Source organism: Homo sapiens, chromosome 4 (assembly GCF_000001405.40).
Source record: "Homo sapiens chromosome 4, GRCh38.p14 Primary Assembly".
Lineage (NCBI taxonomy): Eukaryota > Metazoa > Chordata > Mammalia > Primates > Hominidae > Homo > Homo sapiens.
In genome coordinates, this window is record NC_000004.12 from 169,321,637 (window position 1) to 169,342,754 (window position 21,118).

A 21,118-nucleotide genomic window follows, 5' to 3' on the forward strand; every position below is an offset into this window, starting at 1 on the left:
CCCTTCATGCTAAAAACTCTCAATAAATTATGTATTGATGGGACATATCTCAAAATAATTAGAGCTATTTATGACAAACCCACAGCCAATATCAGACTGAATGGGCAAAAACTGGAAGCATTCCCTTTGAAAACTGGCGCAAGACAGGGATGCCCTCTCTCACCACTCCTATTCAACATAGTGTTGGAAGTTCTGGCCAGGGCAATCAGGCAGGAGAAAGAAATAAAGGGTATTCAATTAGGAAAAGAGGAAGTCAAGTTGTCCCTGTTTGCAGATGACATGATTGTATATTTAGAAAACCCTATTGTCTCAGCCCAAAATCTCCTTAAGCTGATAGCAACTTCAGCAAAGTCTCAGGATACAAAATCAATGTGCAAAAATCGCAAGCGTTCTTATACACCAATAACAGAAAAACAGCCAAATCGTGAGTGAGCTACCATTCACAATTGCTTCAAAGAGAATAAAATACCTAGGAATCCAACTTACAAGGGATGTGAACGACCGCTTCAAGGAGAACTACAAACCACTGCTCAATGAAATAAAAGAGGATACAAACAAATGGAAGAACATTCCATGCTCATGATAGGAAGAATCAATATTGTGAAAATGGCCCTACTGCCCAAGGTAATTTATAGATTTAATGCCATCCCCATCAAGCTACCAATGACTTTCTTCACAGAATTGGAAAAAACTACTTTAAAGTTCATATGGAACCAAAAAAGAGCCTGCATTGCCCAGACAATCCTAAGCCAAAAGAACAAAGCTGGAGGCATCATGCTACCTGACTTCAAACTATACTACAAGGCTACAGTAACCAAAACAGCATGGTACTGGTACCAAAACAGAGATATAGACCAATGCAACAGAACAGAGCCCTCATAAATAATACCACATATCTACAACCATCTGATCTTTGACAAACCTGACAAAAACAAGAAATGGGGAAAGGATTCCCTATTTAATAAATGGTGCTGGGAAAACTGGCTAGCCATATGTAGAAAGCTGAAACTGGATCCATTCCTTACACCTTATACAAAAATTAATTCAAGATGGACTAAAGACTTAAATGTTAGACCTAAAACCATAAAAACCCTAGAAGAAAACCTAGGCAATACCATTTAGGACATAGGCATGGGCAAGGACTTCATGTCTAAAACACCAAAAGCAATGGCAACAAAAGCCAAAATTGACGAATGGGATCTAACTAAACTAAAGAGCTTCTGCATAGCAAAGGAAACTACCATCAGAGTGAACAGGCAACCTAGAGAATGGGAGAAAATTTTTGCAATCTACTCATCTGACAAAGGGCTAATATACAGAATCTACAAAGAACACAAACAAATTTACAAGAAAAAAACAAACAACCCCATCAACAAGTGGATGAAGGATATGAACAGACACCTCCCAAAAGAAGACATTTATGCAGCCAACAGACACATGAAAAAATGCTCATCATCACTGGCCATCAGAGAAATGCAAATCAAAACCACAGTGAGATACTATCTCACACCAGTTAGAATGGAAATCATTACATTAAAGTGAGGAAACAACAGGTGCTGGAGAGGATGTGGAGAAATAGGAATGCTTTTACACTGTTGGTGGGACTTTAAACTAGTTCAACCATTGTGGAAGTCAGTGTGGCGATTCCTCAAGGATCTAGAACTAGAAATACCATTTGACCCAGCCATTCATTACTGGGTATATACCCAAAGGATTATAAATCATGCTGCTATAAAGACACATGCACACGTATGTTTATTGAAGCACTATTCACAATAGCGAAGACTTGGAACCAACCCAAATGTCCATCAATGATAGACTGGATTAAGAAAATGTGGCACATATACACTATGGAATACTATGCAGCCATAAAAAAGGATGAGTTCATGTCCTTTGTAAGGACATGGATGAAGCTGGAAACCATCATTCTCAGCAAACTATCGCAGGGACAAAAAAACAAACACTGCATGTTCTCACTCATAGGTGAGAATTGAACAATGAGAACACATGGACACAGGAAGGGGAACATCGCACACTGGGGCCTGTCGTTGGGTGGGGGGAGGGGGGAGGGATAGCATTAGGAGATATAACTAATGTAAATGATGAGTTAGTGGGTGCAGCACACCAACATGACACATGTATACATATGTAACAAACCTGCACATTGTGCACATGTACCCCAGAACTTAAAGTATAATAATAAAAAAGAAAGAAAGAAAGAAAGATGCAGAGGTGGTGATTCCCACCACATCCCCATTTGGGTCTCCCATTTGGCCTGTGCAGAAGACAGATGGATCTTGGGGAATGACTATAAGTTTAACCAAGTGGTAACTCCAAATGCAATTGCTGTACCAGATGTGGTTTCATCGCTTGAGCAAATTAACACATCTTCTGGTACCTGGTATGCAGCCATTGACTTGGCAAATGCCTTTTTCTCCATTCTTGTCCAAAGCCCCACCAGAAGCAACTTACCTTCATCTGGCAAGGCCAGCAATATACCTTTACTGTCCTACCTCAGGGGTATAGCAACTCTCTGGCTTTGTGTCATAATCTTATTCAGAGATACCTTGATCACTTTTCTCTTTCACAAGATACAACACTGGTCCATTACATTGATGACATTATGTTGATTGGATCCAGTGAGCAAGAAGTAGCAAACACACTGGACTTATTGGTGAGACATTTGCATGCCAGAGGATGGGAAATAAATCCAACTAAGTTTCAGGGACCTTCTACCTCAGTTAAATGTCTAGAGGTCCAGTGGTATGGGGCCTGTTGAGATAGTCCTTATAAGGTGAAGGATAAGTTGCTGTGTTTTGGCCCCAACTACAAGCAAGAAAGAGGCACAATGCCTAGCGGGCCTATTTGGATTTTGGAGGCAACATATTCCTCATTTGGGTGTGTTACTCTGGCCCATTTATCAAGTGACCCGAACGGCTGCCAGTTTTGAGTGGGGTCCAGGACAGAAGGAGGCTCTGCAACAGGTCCAGGCTGCTGGGCATGCTGCTCTGCCCTTTGGGCCATATGACCCAGCAGATTCAATGGTGCTTGAGGTGTCAGTGGTAGATAGGGATGCTGTTTGGAGCCTTTGGCAGCCCCCATAGGTTGAATCACAGCAGAGGCCTCTAGGATTTTGGAGCAAGGACCTGCCATCTTCTGCAGATAACTACTCTTCTTTTAAGAGACAGCTCTTGGCTTGTTACTGGGTTTTGGTGGAAACTGAACATTCAACTATGGGTCCTCAAGTCACCATGCATCCTGACCTGCCTATCATGACCTGGGTGCTTTCTGACCCATCTAGCCATAAAGTGGGTCATGCACAGCAGCATTTCATCATCAAATGGAAGTGGCATATATGTGATCGGGCTCGAGCAGGTCCTGAAGGGACAAGTAAGTTACATGAGAAGATGGCTCCAATGCCCGTGGTCTCCATTGCTGCCACCCTGCCTTCTCTCCCCGAGCCTGCACTGATGGCTTTGTAGGGAGTTCTCTGTGATCACTTGACAGAGGAAGAGGAGACCAGGGCCTGGTTCACAGATGGTTCTGCACGATACGCTGGCACTACCTGAAAGTGGACAGCTGCAGCACTACAGACCCTTTCTGGGACACCCCTGAAGGACAGAGGTGAAGGGAAATCTTCCCAGTGGGCAGAACATCGAGCAGTGCACCTGGTTGTGCACTTTGAATAGAAGGAGAAATGGCCAGATGTGTGGTTGTATACAGATTCATCGGCTGTAGCCAATGGTTTGGCTGGATGGTCAGGGACTTGGAAGAAGCATGACTGGAAAATTAGTGACAAAGAAATTTGGGGAAGAAGTATGTGGATGGGTCTCTCGGAGTGGTCGAAAACTGTGAAGATATTTGAATCCCATGTGAATGCTCACCAACAGGTGACCTCAGCAGAGGAGGAGTTTAATAATCAAGTGGATAGGATGACCCGTCCTGTAGACACCACTCAGCCTCTTTCCCCAGCCACCCTTGTCATCGCCCAATGGGCCCAAGAACAAAGTGCCCATGGTGACAGGGATGGAGGTGACACATGGTCTTAGCAACATGGACTTCCACTCACCAAGGATGATCTGGCTATGGCCACGGCTGAGTGCCCAATTTGCCAGCAGCAGAGACCAACACTGAGCCCTTGATATGGCACCATTCCTCGGGGTGATCACCCAGCTACCTGATGACAGGTTGATTATATTGGACCTTTTCCATCATGGAAGAGCAGAGGTTTGTCCTCAATGGAATGGACACTTACTCCAGATATGGGTTTGCCTATCCTACCCGCAATGCTTCTGTCAAGACTACCAGCCATAAACTCACAGAATGCCTTATCCACCGTCAGCGTATTCCACACAGCATTGCCTCTGACCAAGGCACTAACTTTATTACTAAAGAAGTGCGGCAGTGGGCTCACACTCATGGAATTCACTGGTCTTACCATGTTCCCCTTCATCCTGAAGCAGCTGGATTGATAGAATGGTGGAATGGCCTTTTGAAGTCACAATTACAACACCAACTAGGTGACAATACTTTGCAGGGTGGAGGCAAAGTTCTCCAGAAGGCTGTGTATGTTCTGAATCAGTATCCAATATGTGATACTGTTTCTCCCATAGCCAGGATTCATGGGTCTAGGAATTAATGGGTAGAAGTAGAAGTGGCACCACTCACCATCACCCCTAGTGATCCACTAGCAAAATTTTTGCTTCCTGTTCCTGCAACATTATGTACTGCTGGCCTAGAGGTCTTGGTTCCAGAGGAAGGAATGCTGCCACCAGGAGACAAAAGAAGGATTCCATTAAACTGGAAGTTAAGATTGCCACCTGGACACTTTGGGCTCCTCCTACCTTTAAGTCAACAGGCCAATGGGCTCCTCCTACCTTTAAGTCAACAGGCCAAGAAGGGAGTTACAGTGTTAGCTGGGGTGATTGACCCTGACTATCAAGATGAAATCAGCCTACTACTCCACAACGGAGGTAAGGAAGAGTATGGATGGAACTCAGGAGATCCATTAGGGTATCTCTTAGTATTACCATGACCTGTGATTAAGATTAATGGGAAACTACAACAGCTCAACCCAGGTAGGACTACAAATGACCCAGACCCTTCAGGAATGAAGGTTTGGGTCACTCCACCAGGAAAAAAAACCACGACCTGCTGAGGTGCTTGCTGAAGGCAAAGGGAATACAGAATGGGTAGTAGAAGAAGGTAGTCATCAATACCAGCTATGACCACATGACCAGCTGCAGAAATGAGGACTGTAATTGTCATGAGTATTTCTTCCTTCTTTTGTTAAAAACATATTTGTGCATGTGTACACATGTACTAAGAAAATATCTTCATTTTATTTCCTTTCTCCTTTATCATGTGACATAAATTTATTGACTTCATGTCAGCATTTAAGTATTGTTAACTTTATGTAATGGTATTTGGGTTGGAGATTGGTGCATTTCCAATTGTACAAAGGATAGTTGTATTATGTTAGGTGTAATTATGACCTTATTATTGTCTTTATTTGAAGATTATGTATGATCTCAGGAGATGTGTATGGGTTCAAGTTGACAAGGGGCAGACTTGTGATGGTTAACACTGTGTCAACTTGATTGGATTGAAGGATGCAAAGTATCAATCCTGAGTGTGTCTGTGAGGGTGTTGCCAAGGAGATTAATATTTGAGTCAGTGGGCTGGGAAACGAAGACTCACCATTAATCTGGGTGGGCACAATCTAATCATCTGTGGGCACGGCTAGAATATGAACAGGCAGAAAAATGTGAAAAGGCTAGACTGGCCTAGCCTCCCAGCCTACATCTTTCTCCCATGCTGCATGCTTCCTGCCCTCGAACATCAGACACCAAGTTCTTCAGTTTTGGGACTGAGACTGGCTCTCAGCCTGCAGACGGCCTATTGTGGGACCTTGTGATCATGTGAGTTAATACTTAATAAACTCCCCTTTATATGTATATATATATTCCATTAGTTCTGTCCCTCTGGAGAACCCTGACTAATATAAATGGTTACCTTTAGTTGGGTTAAATCCAGTGAATTCCTTTGGATGTGTTCTTCAGTTGACTTAAAAAAAGAAAAAGAAAAAAAATTTCAGTGAATTCTTGAAAGAATTAAACAAACTGGGCATAGAAAATTGTATGTTACATAAAAATATGTACAAACATTATTTTAAATATAAATCTGTATTCCTACTTTACCAAAAAGCTGATTATACTGATGACAATAATGCAATTTTGTTGGTTTGGGAAAATGCAAAATCACCAGACTAATTGCAACAGCACTTCTGCAATAATGCTACTGATTTATTGAATACCTACTATGTGCCAGTCACTTTATTGAATATGATTTCTAATAATCACAGGGCAGATATTATTATCTCCACTTTACTGATGAGCAAACTGAAGTTCAGAGAGGTATCGATCATTTGTCCAAGGTCTGAGTGCTGTGGAATTGAAATCAAAGTCCACCAGCATTTATCAGATCGAGTAGGTCTGAAGTTCCTAATGCTGAATACAAAAGGGCACAGTTATCTAGGATAAATATAAAATGCATGAGATGCCAGGGCAACAGGCAAACCAGGACATACGATCACCTACACTATACAGCATCATCTTGAGAATATGTGCACTGCTGCCACAGTCTTTGCAAACAATCAAATGTACAAGGGGTTGAGAAAATAAAGTACAGTTATAAGGAGTATTCAACAGAAGAGTGAAATGTAACAAGATAGAATTGGAGGGTTAATTTCAGGTAAGTTTTTGAAAGCTCTAAGAGCCAGGAGAGGAGTTCACTCTTTATCCTGTAGTCAATGCTACATAGCTACAAACATTGGTATGGTGTTTGACAAGTGCTTTCATATACACTATTACACTTGACAATGAAAGTATGATAGTTGGTACTTCCAGAGAGGTTATGTGACTTTCCCAAGACTGCTAAACTGGTAAGCAGTAGAGTTCCCTGTTTCTACAAAGTCTAGGCTTTTCCTACTTTTCCATATTACTTGCTAGTTTCTAAAACATCCAGTCCCTTGAGATTACAAGTTATCATCAGAAACCACAACAAAAAGCACATTGTTTCACATGGGAGAATAGCACATGGCTGACCCATTATTCTGTTAGCATGGGTTACAATCATTTTCCTAGAAGGGCATTAAGTCCTATACAATAGACGTTAGGAACAAGAGGCTGAGGCAGGCGGATCACGAGGTCAGGAGATCAAGACTGTCCTGGCTAACACAGTGAAACCTCGTCTCTACTAAAAATACAAAAAACTAGCCGGGCATGGTGGCGAGCACCTGCAATCCCAGCTACTTGGGAGGCTGAGGCAGGAGAATCCCTTGAACCTGGGAGGCGGAGCTTGCAGTGAGCTGAGATCACACCACTGCACTCCAGCCTGGGTGACAGAGCGAGACTCTGTCTCAAAAAAAGAAAATAAATACTAAAAATAAAAGGAACGAGAAAATGGTTATTTGTAACCTTTTCTTGATCATGAATGTCCTAAATACCTTATAGAAAAATTAAGAAGAAAAAATATATAAAGAAGAAAACAAAAATCCTTTATAATTTTACAACTGAGAGATAATTTTAACACTCTGGTGCATTTTCTTCCAGTCTTTGGCATACCCTAAAGCTTGAATGTCATTGCACCCATGCCATCTCCACCTGCTGTGACCCTATCTTCGGAATACTTCTCAAATCCATCAATTCCTATGAGCTCTACCCTCATATATGTCACCTCACCTCGTGCCTAGATTAGCGCATTTTCCCAGCAGCCAGTCTCCTGAGCTCCAGTCTGGCATACGCTGTCCACATTCATTTGGCGTACTGCAGACAGAGGAGTTTTTGGCTTGTTTGTTTTTTAAGACAGAGTGTTGCTCTCTTGCCCAGGCTGGAGTGCAGTGGTGTGATCATGGCTTATTGAAGCATCGACCTGCTGGGTTTAACTGATCCTCCCACCTCTGCCTCCCAAGTAGCTGGGACTACAGGTGCATGCCACCACGACAAGCTAATTTTTTTTTTTTTTTTTTTTTTTTAGTTTTTTTGTAGGGATAAGTTCTCACCCTGTTGCCCAGACTGGTCTCAAACTCCTGAGCTCAAGCGATCCTCCTGCTTTGACCTCCCAAAGTGCTAGGATTACAGGCATGAGCCACCCACCCAGCCCAGAGTAATTTTCCTAAAATGCAAACTGTTTAAATGCCTTGAATGGCTTCCCCTTATCCATAGGATAAAACTCAGACTATTTGACTATTTGCCATGTCTTTTTTTTTTTTTTTTTTTGAGACAGAGTTTCACTCTATCACCCAGGCTGGAGTACAATGGAGCGATCTCAGCTCACTGCAACCTCCGCCTCCCGAGTTCAAGTGATTCTCCTGCCTTAGCCTCCCGAGTAGCTGGGATTACAGGAGCCCACCACCACACCTGGCTAATTTTTGTATTTTTAGCAGAGACAGGGTTTTATCATGTTGGCCAGCCTGGTCTCCAACTCCTGACCTAAGGTTATCCGCCCACCCTGGCCTCCCAAAGTGCTGGGATTACAAGCACGAGCCACCTCAACCAGCTTAGCCGTGGCTTTCAAGGCCCTTCACCCCACTGCTCCCACTTCCGCTCTCTCCACTGGGCCCTCACAGTCTGCCTGCCTTCCCACCTCCCCACGTGGCTCTACAGACCTTCTGAGCCATGCCCTCTGTCTGGAACCTCCCAATGGCACTCTCGCAGCTGGAACACTCCTCCTTAGGCTCTCTGCCTAACTGCTTTTCAGTTTTCAAACCTCAGCTCATATTTTAATTTTGGGGGGATGATTTATTTGACCCCCTGCCTCTCTCTGCCCAGGATTAGAGGCTTCTGCCACAATCTCAAGTTCTCCCTCTGTTCCTGTGATAACACTTATCTCACTGTATTATTATCTTCTTGTTTCACTGCCTGTCTCCTTACCTAGATTGTAAACTGTGAAGGCAGGGTCTTATCTCTTCTATTCCCCACTCTATACCCCGCATGTGTCACAGGACCTGGCACAGGGCAGGCACTGAATATTCTTCACTAAATGTGTGTGTATAGGGCAAACATGCATACACCAATATATAGCATATGAAGTGTTTAATAAATCTGTATAATTTTCCCGCAGATTATTTTGCATTTTCTTTGTAGAAATTAATGTTATCTGTGTGTTAGATATGAGTTCTAAATTTCTTTTCAAAGAATTAATATGTCAGTATGTTCAATTCTTTGCCTTCTACTTTTAAACTTAACTTCTTCGTAAAGCAACCTTTTTCGATTACCTACTCCATCCTGACTCATTCCGATCACCTGCTCCACCCTAACTCATTCTAATCACCTGCTCCACCCTAACTCGTTCAGATTATCTGCTACCTGCTCTGCCCTGACTCCCGCCGAAGCACTCACCCGGTCATTCTCTTTAAATTAGCCAGTCAGAATTAATTTAGCCTGTGCGGTCTAACACTAGCCAATAGGGAAACGACACAGCAGCAGGGGCCACGTGCGTCATAGATAAGAACCTCTTCCCCTCTCTTGTCCGAGTGTGCGCTCACCATTGTTCCATCTGGAAGGGTGCACCCTTCTATAGAAGTAACTTGCCTTGCTGAGAATTAAAAAGAAAATTTTAGACTCGAGTGCTATTCCTTTTGCGGCACCAAAACTTTACATAACATGTGAATAATGACAGTTTTGCTTCTTCCTTTCTAGTCCTTATCCCTTCTGTTTTTCCTTGTCTTACGGTGCAGCTAAGATCTCCAATGCAATGTCAAATGGATGTGCTGATAGTTTGCATTTTTGTATCTGATTTTTTTTTTTTTTTGAGACAGCGTTTTGCTCTGCCACCCAGACTGGAGTGCAGTGGTACAGTCATGGCTGATGGCAACGTCAACCTCCTGGGCTTAGGTGATCCCCCCACCTCAGCCTCGGGGGTAGCTGGGACTACAGGCACACACCACCAAGTGCCTGTATTGTATTTTTTGTAGAGATGGTTGCCCAGGCTGGTCTTGAACTCCTGGGCTGAAGCAATCTGCTCGCCTTGGCTTTCCAAAGTGCTGGGATTACAGGTGTGAGCCACCACTCCTGGCTGCATCTGATTTTTTAAAGGGAAAAGTCACGATTTTGACATTAACTATCATGCATGATAGAGATTTTTGATTGATACTCTTCATCATTTTAAGGAAATTCTATTCTAGTCTCAGTTTAAGAAGCTTCTCTTCATAAATTATGAATGAATGAATGAAAAATTTTATCTGTGAGTTTTCTGTTTCACCAAGATGGTTTACCTTCTTTAATCTGTTAATGCATTGAATTACATTACATTGCCTAGTGTTAAAACATCCTTACAGCCTTGCAATTGGTCTTGATATATTATTCTTTTACAATATTGTTTTGCAGAATTTGATGTACTAACATTTTATTTAGCATTATGAAGTCTATGTTTATTAGTAAAATTGGCTTATAATTTTCTTTTCTTTTGCTATTTTTGTCTGGTTTTGAGATCAAGAATATTTATAGTCTCATAAAATGAATTGGAAAACTTTCTCTTTTTTTCTATTCTCTAAAACAATGTATATGTAATAAAGATGACCTAGTCCTTAAATATTTGACAGAACTCATTTATAAAGCTATCTAAACCCACTGCAGGTTTATACATATAGATCTATTAGCTGAAGCTTGTTAATTGTTTGGTTCAAATCACCTGTGTCTGTATGCCTTTGTGTATTTGCAAAGATTCTTAATTTGTCTTTTACATGCAAATTTATTTTTCTACACTATCTGTTCTGCTGTACAGTGCCTTCAAAGTATTTTGGTTATGTTTTACTTTTGTTTCATCCTTTTTATCCAATTCCATTTATATGTCAACCTGCATCTTTATTTATTTTTCATATCTTCTGTATAATTTTGCAATGTTAGTATTTTCCTGTAATTGTTTGAGATCACAAAAAGGTTGCTTTCAAAGGTTGACTTCCATGTTTTTCTACTGTAAATCATCTTCCAAAATATGCATTTGCTCTGCATCTTCAGGGCCATGCTCTTTATTCTTTTCTGAACTATCATGGTCCCTGTATTGTTGTTTCAGTTGATTCATCTTTAAGTAAGGAAATCCGGAGGAAGCATGTGTATACAATCTGTTGGAAAATATCTGGCTATCTACTGGATCTGATGACCTTGAGTAACACTGTTGTACCTGCATCTTAGTGCATGTTTCACACAATGTCTTAATTAGAGAGGCTTTTCCCACAATGCTCAGCCCCTGCCACAGCCCTTAAAGGGCCATGCTGCTTTTTCAATCTTTGAAGTCTTTGGACAACTTTACCGATGGGAAATTTCATATAGGTCCTCCCTCTGCTGATTGGCCATAGCGTAATGAAAAAAAAGATCATCAATTAATTGGCTTGTGACACCATAGCTGTGAGATAACAAATAGGTCTCGCCTCACATACCAACTCCCAGTGGGTGTGGTGGCTGCCTGGGGAACTTTGTTGAGAATGATTCTGAGGCCCTCTCTGGCTCAGTGGGAAAGAGTGCTTTCATTAATGAGTTATATCTGCTAGGGGCATGGGAGCAGGGAGTGGCAGGATGAATGCCACCTATCTGCTGCCCCTGTTCTAATGGCTGTCCACAGGTGTGACATAAGATATAAAAATTAATAGTAAGCTGGGCTTAAAGGGCCTGGCCTCCTTGAAGCTTTTAAGGGACTCAATTCCACAATACCCAGTGATATATGACAGTGGACTTAGCTTATGAAGTGCTTGCCCCAGACACCAGTGATCTGAAATTGTCCAAAACTCCAGAGAATGGCAGACTAAACACAGGCGAATTGTGTAATCAAGTGGCAAACTGCCCGAGCGATGATCTTTCTAGGTGTGAACACACCTAGCTTCACTGCCTTATCAGAGTTGGGCCTGCATAAACCTTTGCCGTTCTTTGTTAGATCTGGCTGGGATCTTTGCCCCCACACTCCCACTCTCCCCTTACCCAAAAGAGGCTTAGCCCTCCTCATTCCTTGTTCATCATTCTGCACAGGGTTGGGGGGAAGTGACACAGGCCTGTCCATTCTTAGTTCAGAAAGTGGTCCCCAAATGGTATGTGACCTCAGTTGGAATTTTATATACAAGCACTTGAAGGAACCACTTTCTCTAGAATCCAGAATTGGGACTGGGATGATGAAAGCCTGGAACTCTCTGATGCCTCCACCATAATGAAGACATCCATGTGTATTGGGAGAGAAGGAAGCTGACAGAGAAAAGCAGAGGCGAGAGAGAGAAAGAGAGAGAGAGAGGCAGAGGCTAAGAAAGAGAGAGGGGACACCTGCTGACATCTCTGGAGTTTCTTGAACTTTTGATATGTACTCCATTCCTGGACTTGATCATATGAGTCAGTACATTCATTTGAAATTGAACTATTTTGATTTGGGATTGTGTCTCTTAAGACTGAAGGAGTCTTAACAAATACAATGGCAACTGCTTTTGTTAACTGTCAATGTTGGTTGAGACTGGTTGGTTTGCCTCTCCATTTTAGAGATGTCAAAGGAAAATAAATCTTGGGACCCCAAAATCACTAAGCCAAGGGGAAAGTCAAGCTGGGAACTATGTCAGGCAAACCTGCCTCCCATGTTATTTTTAAATAAGACCGCTACAAAATAAAAAGCTACATATCTCCTTCACAATTTGGCCACAAGGAAATTCCTTCTGGACAAAGGACAGACAGAACTCAAAGTCATCCCTCTGAGTCTCACCTGAGACAAATGCTTATCTGAGTGCTTCCTCTGCCCTATTGTTTAGGTGAAAATGCAGATTCACTGAGCCAGACTAAATTGTGTATTCAGTGCAAAGCTGATCAAAGACTCAAAAGAATGCAACCTTTTGTCTCTTATCTCCTTATGACCACCTCAAGTTGTCCTGCCTTACTAGACCAACCCTATGTCTCCCTAGAATGTGTAAAAGCAAGCTGTACCCTGACCACCGTGCGTATACGTTGTCAGGCCCTCCTGAGGCTGTGTCACATGTGCGTCCTTAACCTTGGTAAAGTAAACTTTCGAAATTGATTGAGACCTGTCTCCAATACCTTTTGGTTTACAGAGGAGATTCATGATTCATGAACAGAGGCCTGTGTTGCTCCCATTGCCTCTGAGCCTCTCCAGAGGTCCCAATACATCCTCCCTCGCCCTCAGCCATGCTGCCTACAGGGAATGGAAGTCACAGAATGAATGTGTTAAGAGGAGACTCCTGCAGGTGGGTGGCAGGGTCTGTGGCTGAGAAGAGAATTCTACTACAGTGTGGAGTGCCCTTCTGGTTAGTTCTTCCTCCCCACCCTAAAGTGGGAAATATTTTCCCACTTCTTTATAGCCATCTTTTTTCTTCAATTCAAAAGGCAAAGTGTACATACATAGAAATTTATTTCTCAATTCAACCCACAAAGATGCAGTTTCCCAGAGTTTAGCATATAGCTTTCAGTCTATAATGTTGCCAATTGGTCTTCTGGGTCTCTCCATGAGTGATTTAATTAAAAAGAAAGGAAAGATGAATAGAGTACTGTTGGTTTGCAACAGTGACGATTTGGAAATTCCTGGGCAGGTACATTTCCACGGCATGGTAAGGATTCTGGGAAGAACAGCGCTTTGGCACTGCCTGTGCGGCCCAAGGCAGCTGGAAGGGGTCCTACAGATCCTGGGGAAAGGCACTAAAACAAGAAAAGGAGTGGGTGGTGCCAGAGACAAACTTCAACAGTTTCCTGACTTTGCCTACAGCCCGCCCTGACTGGTTTAGGCTTGTTAACGAAAACATTCTTCCTATTCCTTTCTCCTGCCTAGTTTTGAATGATGACAGTGCTGTAGATATGATGCCTTTATGACATTTAACCACAAATGGCACCAATTAGTCATCTCATAAAGCTCAACAGCGCCAGGACTATCCTTTATCTCAGCTCTCTGGGGCTGGGAGTGGGAGATCGGAGTAGAATATGTGTCTCTAGCCTGAAGAAAAGTTGTCAACAAATCAGTTCTTCATCTAATCTGAGGTGACAAGTGGGGTGATGTATTCCAGCTAAAGCATTCTTGGCTCCAGATGACTTTGTAAAGATAATAAAATGTGTTCATGTTCACATGTTCGTCAATGTCTCCAGTTCTGGCCTCGGCAGCTTTTCAGAGGCAAAAACTTCCCTCTTTTATTCCCTGTCCTAACTGATGAAAAGGTGAAGTGTTGTAATAGATCAATCTCTTTACAATCTATCTGCTTTTTGACCGATAATGCTGACATAATTTTAGGGAATTGTAAGAGAGGAGATAGCCTTAAATTAGGCATTTACAGGGGACGGAGAGAGAGGTAAAGTGGTACTTACAGCTTCACTGCAGGAGATTTAAGAACAATATCTGTCGATCACTGTGAAGAGTCTGAGATTTAACCTACATTCAATTTCACAAGTTAACCTGCCATAGTTCCATGGATGCTGGTAGAAGGTATGAGGCCCCTGGGGTTAGAGACAGAAGACAATTTATTACTCCCAGTAATAGCAATAGTCAAAGTATCAGCATATTTGCACTGGTAAGACCCACCTCCCACAGGGTGATAGGAAGAGGGCCAGATGACACTGGAACAATCCTATACATGCAGTCAGTTACATTACAAGGGCAAAATCTTGAGTTTAGGCAACCTGAATCTTTCATCAGGGGCCATAATCTCACCTGCCTTTTGCTCCGAAGGAAAATATTATGTCTATCTTCCAAGACTGATTGATAAACAAACCTCCTTGAAAAGATAATGCAGAACAAAGAGCAGTTAGCCTTTGCTTATGAGAGTACAGGAGTGTGACAAACCTGTGGGAAAATTTCTCCTAACAATGTGCAACCCTCATTTCAATACTGTTGCATTAGCTTCCAGAGATTTGCCATAACAAATCATCCCAAACTGGGTGGGTTAAAACAACACACATTTCTTCTTGTGCAGTTCTAGAGGTGAAGCGTCTGTTGGCATGGCCCTGTTTCCCCTCAAGACTCTAGAGGAGTAGTCTTCCTTGCCCTTTCCGGTTTCTGGTGGCTTCTGGTGTTCCTTGGCTTGTGGCTGCATCACTCTGGTCTCTGCCTTTGTCTTTGCATAGCCTTCCCCTCTTAGCTCCTGTGTCCCCATCTATGTTCTCTTATACGGACTCATTTCATTGGATTGAGTTTAGGAAATCTGAATCTTTCATAAGGGGCCATATAATCCAACATGATTCTACCCAGATAACCCTACCCAGATACCCAGATAATCCAACATGATCTCATCTCGACATCCTTAATTTAATTAATCTACAAAGATCCTTTTCCTAAATAAAGTCACATCACAAGTTCTGGGGGTTAAGAAGTGGATATATCTTTTGTATGGGTGGGTGTCATTCAACCCAACCATCTCAGCTTCTGATAAATTTTCACATGAATACCCCACTCCATCAGCCATGTTGATTAAACTGACTGACAGAGGCTGAAACCAAATCTATTCAAATAGTCTTCTTTCTTCTTCTTTTTTTTTTTTTGAGACGGAGTCTTGCTCTGTCACCCAGGCTGGAGTGCAGTGGCGTGATCTCGGCTCACTGCAACCTCTGCCTCCCAGGTTCAAGCAATTCTCCTGCCCGAGCCTCCCCAGTAGCTGGGACTACAGGCACCCACCACCATGCCCAGCTAATTTTTGTATTTTTAGCAGAGACAGGGTTTCACCATGTTGGCCAGGTCTTGAACTCCTAACCTCAGGTGATCCACTCACCTTGGCCTCCTAAAGTGCTGGGATTACAGATGTGAGCCACCGTGCCCGGCCCCATTCAAATAGTCTTATGCAGAATTTAATTAACAAGACTTGAAGCAACACAATGTGGCCTATTTACATTGTGGAACTCAATCATATCCCCCAGAGTCCCAGCCTCAAGTTGAAACCAATCCTATAAACCATCATGGTCTAACTTGGAAATCCAACTAGCTTGCTCTTTGTGTTTTGACTTTTCCACTTGGCTTGAGGTATTATTCCAGATACAGCAGGATGTATTAGCACAAGGAGGAAGTCTTGGGCAATTCAATCATTCCTAACAATCCTGGCCAGTGAATTGAAGCTATCTGAATGCCTCACAGGGCTGAGGTTTGTTTTCCCAAAATACTCAAAGCTCTTTTATGACTATACTTAAGGGGTATGTGACTATGTTTCCAGAAGAGAGGCAAGTTAATGTCTGGCTTCCACATAAGAATTACAGTTTCTGAGATGCACATGGTGCCCTAGGGAAGAGATGTTTGCAATTGCCGATGCCACTCAAGGAGGACCTGCATTCGTTGGGGACCATGGTTCATGATGCTGCAAATATATTCTCCTGGTTGGCTGGTTGGCATTAGGGTTTTCCACAAAGAACAGTTGAATCTAATCCTTCTTTGTGGAGGAACTACCTGATAGCAGTGAGTCTAACCTGACCTTTTTGTCCATGCCACCAGCTGGTGGCATTTGTTTGTTCTGGGCGATGATTGAGTGATACCTACAAGAAAGGGAGGGGCAAAGACATCTAGAGGTCTTGGCAAGTGTGTTGAATGGGGTGGCAAGAACAAGTGTGTTGAATGGGGTGGCAAGAACTGGGGCTATCCCCTGCTGCTTCTGTTAAACTTCTTGGTAAGATTAACACGAATGGAAATCAAGTCCTGGTGATAATTATCTGGCAGAGGATGGCAGGCCCAGTAGTTAGTTAAAGGCAAGGCACTTAGTGCATTGGAGTGTTTTCTTTCCTGGGGAAGATCTCAGGGTATCTTCCCACCCTCATACTTTCTGGGGTTGGAGGAACTCTCTCCCCAGCTCTCACCACCAGAGAATCATTGTGTTCATTCCAGTGGTTACTCATCTCCTACTTCACCCACATCTTCGTCTAGATAAATTAGGTGCAAGAGGGATAAAGGCATATTTTAAAACTTTTATTTTAAGCTCAGGGGTACATGTGTAGGATTGTCATATGGGTAAACTTGTGTCATGGGGGCTTGTTGTACAGATTATTTTGTCACCTAGGTTTTTTTTTTTTTTTTTTTTTTGAAACTGAGCCTCACTCTCTTGCCCAGGCTGGAGTGCAGTGGCCCATCCTTGGCTCATTGCAACCCCCGCCTCTCAGGCTGAAGCAATTTTAATGCCTCAGCCTCCCTAGTAGCTGGGATTACAGGTGCATGTCACTGCACTCAGTTAATTTTTCCCTATTTTTTGGTAAAGACGGGGTTTCACCATGTTGGCCAGGTTGGTCTTGAACTCCTGGCCTGAAGTGATCCATCTGCCTCGGCCTCCCAAAATGCTGGGATTACAGGTGTGAGCCACCGCACCTGGCCTCATCACCCAGGTATTAAGCCTAGTGCTCATTAGTTATTTTTCCTGATCCTCTACCACCTCCCACCCTCTACCCTCCAATAGGCCCCATTGTGTGTCGTTCCCCTCTATGTGTCCATTTGTTCTCATCATTTAGTTCCCACTTACAAATGAGAATACGTGGTACTTGGTTTTCTGTTCCTGCATTAGTTTGCTAAGGACAATGGCCTCCAGCTCCATCCATGCCCCTGCAAGGACATGACCTTGTTCCTTTTTATGGCTGCACAGTATTCCATGGCATATATGTACCATATTTTCTTTATCCAATCTGCCATCAATGGATATTTAGGTTGATTCTATGTCTTTGCTATTGTGAATAGCATTGTAATAAATATACATGTGCATGTATCTTTACAGTAGAATGATTTATATTCTTTTGGGTATATACCCAGTAATGGGATTGCTGGGTCAAATGGTATTTCTGTCTTTAGGTCTTTGAGGAATCACCACACTGTATTCCACAAAAGCTGAACTAATTTATATTCCTACCAACCGTGTATAAGCATTCCTTTTTTTCTACAACCTCTCCAGCATCTGTTATTTTTTGACTTTTGAATAATCACCATTCTGACTGGTGTGAGATGGTATCTCATTGCGGTTTTGATTTGCATTTCTCTAATGATCAGTGATGACGAGCTTTTTTTCATATGTTTGTGGGCCACATATATGCCTTCTTTTGAAAAGTGTCTGTTCATGTCCTTTGTCCACTTTTTAATGAGGTTTTTTTTTTTTCTTGTAAATTTGTTTAAGTTTCTTATAGATGCTGGATATTAGAACTCTGTTGGATGGATAGTTTGCAAAAATTTTCTCCCATTCTATAGGGTGTCTGCTCACTCAGTTGATAGTTTCCTTCGTAGTGCAAAAGTTCTTTAGTTTAATTAGATCCCATTTGTCAATTTTTGCTTAGGGCATTTTTATAAAACTTACAGAGATGCGTTATATCTTCCATTTTGGCCCATGTGTGCCAGCATAGGGAGACTCTGAGCAATGTATTCAACCAGTGGTCATTGTCCTGGTGACCCGGGACATGTCAATCCAACAGGAGAATCCAGACTTCTTAGGGTCCCATTTGAGACAGATGGCCACTCAGATAGTACAAGCCTGGCCAGCTGGGGGTTACTCCTAGGAGTAAGAAAGACACACCATACACAGGAAGTGCTAGAGAAGAATCCCAAATTTCCAGAAAAGGTCTCCTCCCATTTTGTCAAGTTATTACCTAGGAAGCAGCTGAGAGAAGATGATCACTTTCTGGGACAGCCTCACTCAGTGACCAAACTGTTTTAGACACATGTGGGAATCTGAAGGAAGTCAGGGAGGTTGAGTCAGAAATCTTTTTGAGTTCAGTTTTGAGGAGGCCATTGCAATGGCCAGAGGCCTGTGGATGATGGGAGCATGGAAGGCCTACTAAATACCTTGACTATTAGCACTTGGTTGAATAGTTTTTGCAATCAAAGGTGTACTGTTGTCAGACTGTAAATCATCCAGAAAGCCAAAAGCTTATCACAGAGAAGTTTGAAGGGCCACTGTGGTGTGAGTAGTTGGCTGTACACACTGCAACAGCAACGTTGTAACCTAAAAGAGTTGTCAACAGGCTGGGCACTGTGGCTCACACCTATAATTCCAGCTTCTTGGAAGGCTGAGGTGGGAAACCAGCCTGGGCAACATAACCAGACCCCATTGCTACTAAAAAAATTTAAAAATTAGCTGGGCATGGTGGTGCAAGCCTGTAGTTCCAGCTATTTATGAGACTGAGGCAGGAAGATCTCTTGAGACCAGGAATTTGAGGCTGCAGAGAGCCAGGATCACACCACTGTACTCCATCCTGGGCGACAGAGCAAGACCCTGTCTCTAAAAAACAACAACAAAAAAAATTATATATATAAAAAAAGTATCAATAATGGTAAGGCACCCCCAATAGGTACCAGAAGGGGCCAAAGGTTCAATTTATTCAATCTGCCAGGAGTTTACAGAGACAACACCCTGTGAAATGTGGCCTCTCTTGCCACAAGACAAATGGGTCCATTTGTGACAGGCTCCACAGTCTGGCATGCAGCAGTAGCCTCTCCATTGGAAACAAAGAGTCCTTTACTGTGTGCCAAGTCTATAACGGTGGATGTTGCCACATCTTATACAATGATGATGGATCGAGGTGGCAGTGGTGGCAGGGTGGATGGTACAGGCTCAAGTTTGGTCCCCGTTGGTCCCACAAGAGAATGGGCCTTTAATGTGGGTGTTTATGTGAGTGATCCAGGCGGTTCCAGCAGCAGCCACAATTTGTTCTCACAATTCAAAGTTCACAGTTCATTGGTCCAAAGATAGTTGTCTTTAATGTATAGTTTTCAAAGTGGCATCTAAGCCACCAACGATCACCAGAGAGTCAGTAAAATCATAACTAGCTTCATCAAAAGGAGTACTGGCCAGAGTGATGAGAATGCTCCTGTTTTCTGCCCGCACAGGAGAACGACCACCTCTATTTTTGGTTCTGCATAGCTGGTGCTAAAGCTGAACAGACACAATAGTCCAGTGACACTGTCAGGTACCAGCTTAGCCAAATCACCAGCGAAGCCGGCCCAGGCACTGAGGGGAACACTGTGAGGGCAGGACCACACTGAGCCAGCAGCTTTGCTGCAGGCGGTAGCATGGGGATGGAATTTCCCCCAAAGGAACAGCTGCCACTTTTTCACCTAAAACCAAGATACTGTGGGAGCCAGGCCAGCTGTGTTCTTGAACCTACTATTTCCATTTGACAAATGAGGTGGTTGGGGCCTTCCCACTGTGTTAGTCATGGAGTCAAAGTTGACCCACCACAAAGTGAGAATACAGGATGAAGACTCACAGGCTTCTGAGAGTCAGGCCCTCCTTTTTGACAAGAGCCCACTAGCGAGCTCAGAGCTGCTTTTTAAAGAGGGTGGACCTGGTCACAATGTCATGGAAGCAACAAGTCCAAAATTCCAAGAGGTGGCTCTGGATGAAGCCTGACTCCTTTTGCCAGAGTCTCCAGTTGGCAAAGTCATCAGTTGCAGAGACATAGAGCTGAGGTTTCATTAGGATTGCTGAGCCCTGAAGCTGGAGAGTGTGTCTCAGCTTGCTGGACAGCTTCTAATGCAGTCTGTTTGGACCCTGCTCATATCATGCTGATGTGATATGAGAAAAGAAACAATGGGATACCCAGTGAGGTGCACACTGTCTCCCATATCCAAAGAGTACATTAAGGTTCTGGGCATCCTTTTGGGTGATGGGGGTGGGGTGCTGAAGAGATAGCAATTTTTCCCTGACTACCAGTGTGGCTGTAAATAGTCCCAGGAAACTTTGCCTGGTGAGCTAGTTCCTGGATTTTGTCAGGTTTTATCAGCTTCACCTGCTGGCAGCTTCACCTGCTGGCATGCTAATACCATTCTCAAGGTCACTGAGACGGGCACTTATGGCTTGCCAACCAACAGGACGTCATCTACATAACCAAAGCTATGGACATCAGAGGGTAGAGGCCCTTGCACTAAATTCTGACCCCTCCTCTCCACTAGTAGCAAGTGGCAGAGAAATTTAGGTGCTCATGGAAGACTACTGCAAATGTATACTGGAGGCTTTGAAATGTGAATGGGAACTGTTTATGATGCTTAGGTGCCAGTGGTATGGCAAAGAAGCCATTGGTAAGCATGCCAAGTGCCATTGGTCTGCGTAATGGATTCAATTACAGTTACAATGTCTGGAACAGCTGGGATATGGAATCAGCAACTGAATTCAGTGGGCAATAATCTACTGCAAGCCTCTGCCTCT

The 21,118-nt window shown here is 43.1% G+C and overlaps 1 long non-coding RNA gene across 3 annotated transcripts in view, besides 2 other annotated features; it reads right to left on the bottom strand.

Moving 5' to 3' along the window:
- LOC105377529 (uncharacterized) overlaps positions 1 to 9,542 on the bottom strand; it is a 55,915-nt gene extending 46,373 nt beyond the window's left edge. For 2 of the 3 annotated variants that reach the window (XR_939438.3, XR_939436.3), the window contains exons 1-2: positions 7,743 to 7,828; positions 6,016 to 6,066 (exon numbers count right to left, since the gene is read on the bottom strand). This is a non-coding gene — a long non-coding RNA (uncharacterized LOC105377529). Of the gene's footprint in view, positions 1 to 6,015; positions 6,067 to 7,742; positions 7,829 to 9,401 lie in introns of those variants that run through there. The other variant, XR_939437.3, reaches the window with a different exon arrangement.
- Positions 13,517 to 14,194: an enhancer, noted in NCBI's record as "H3K27ac-H3K4me1 hESC enhancer chr4:170256304-170256981 (GRCh37/hg19 assembly coordinates)". NCBI's record gives its function as "activates a minimal SCP1, AML or CMV promoter by ChIP-STARR-seq in naive H9 embryonic stem cells {active_cell/tissue: H9 hESC(naive)}" and the evidence as "EXISTENCE:reporter gene assay evidence [ECO:0000049][PMID:30033119]".
- Positions 19,955 to 20,104: an enhancer, noted in NCBI's record as "active region_22135". NCBI's record gives its function as "activates an Ori minimal core promoter by ATAC-STARR-seq in GM12878 lymphoblastoid cells {active_cell/tissue: GM12878}" and the evidence as "EXISTENCE:reporter gene assay evidence [ECO:0000049][PMID:35858748]".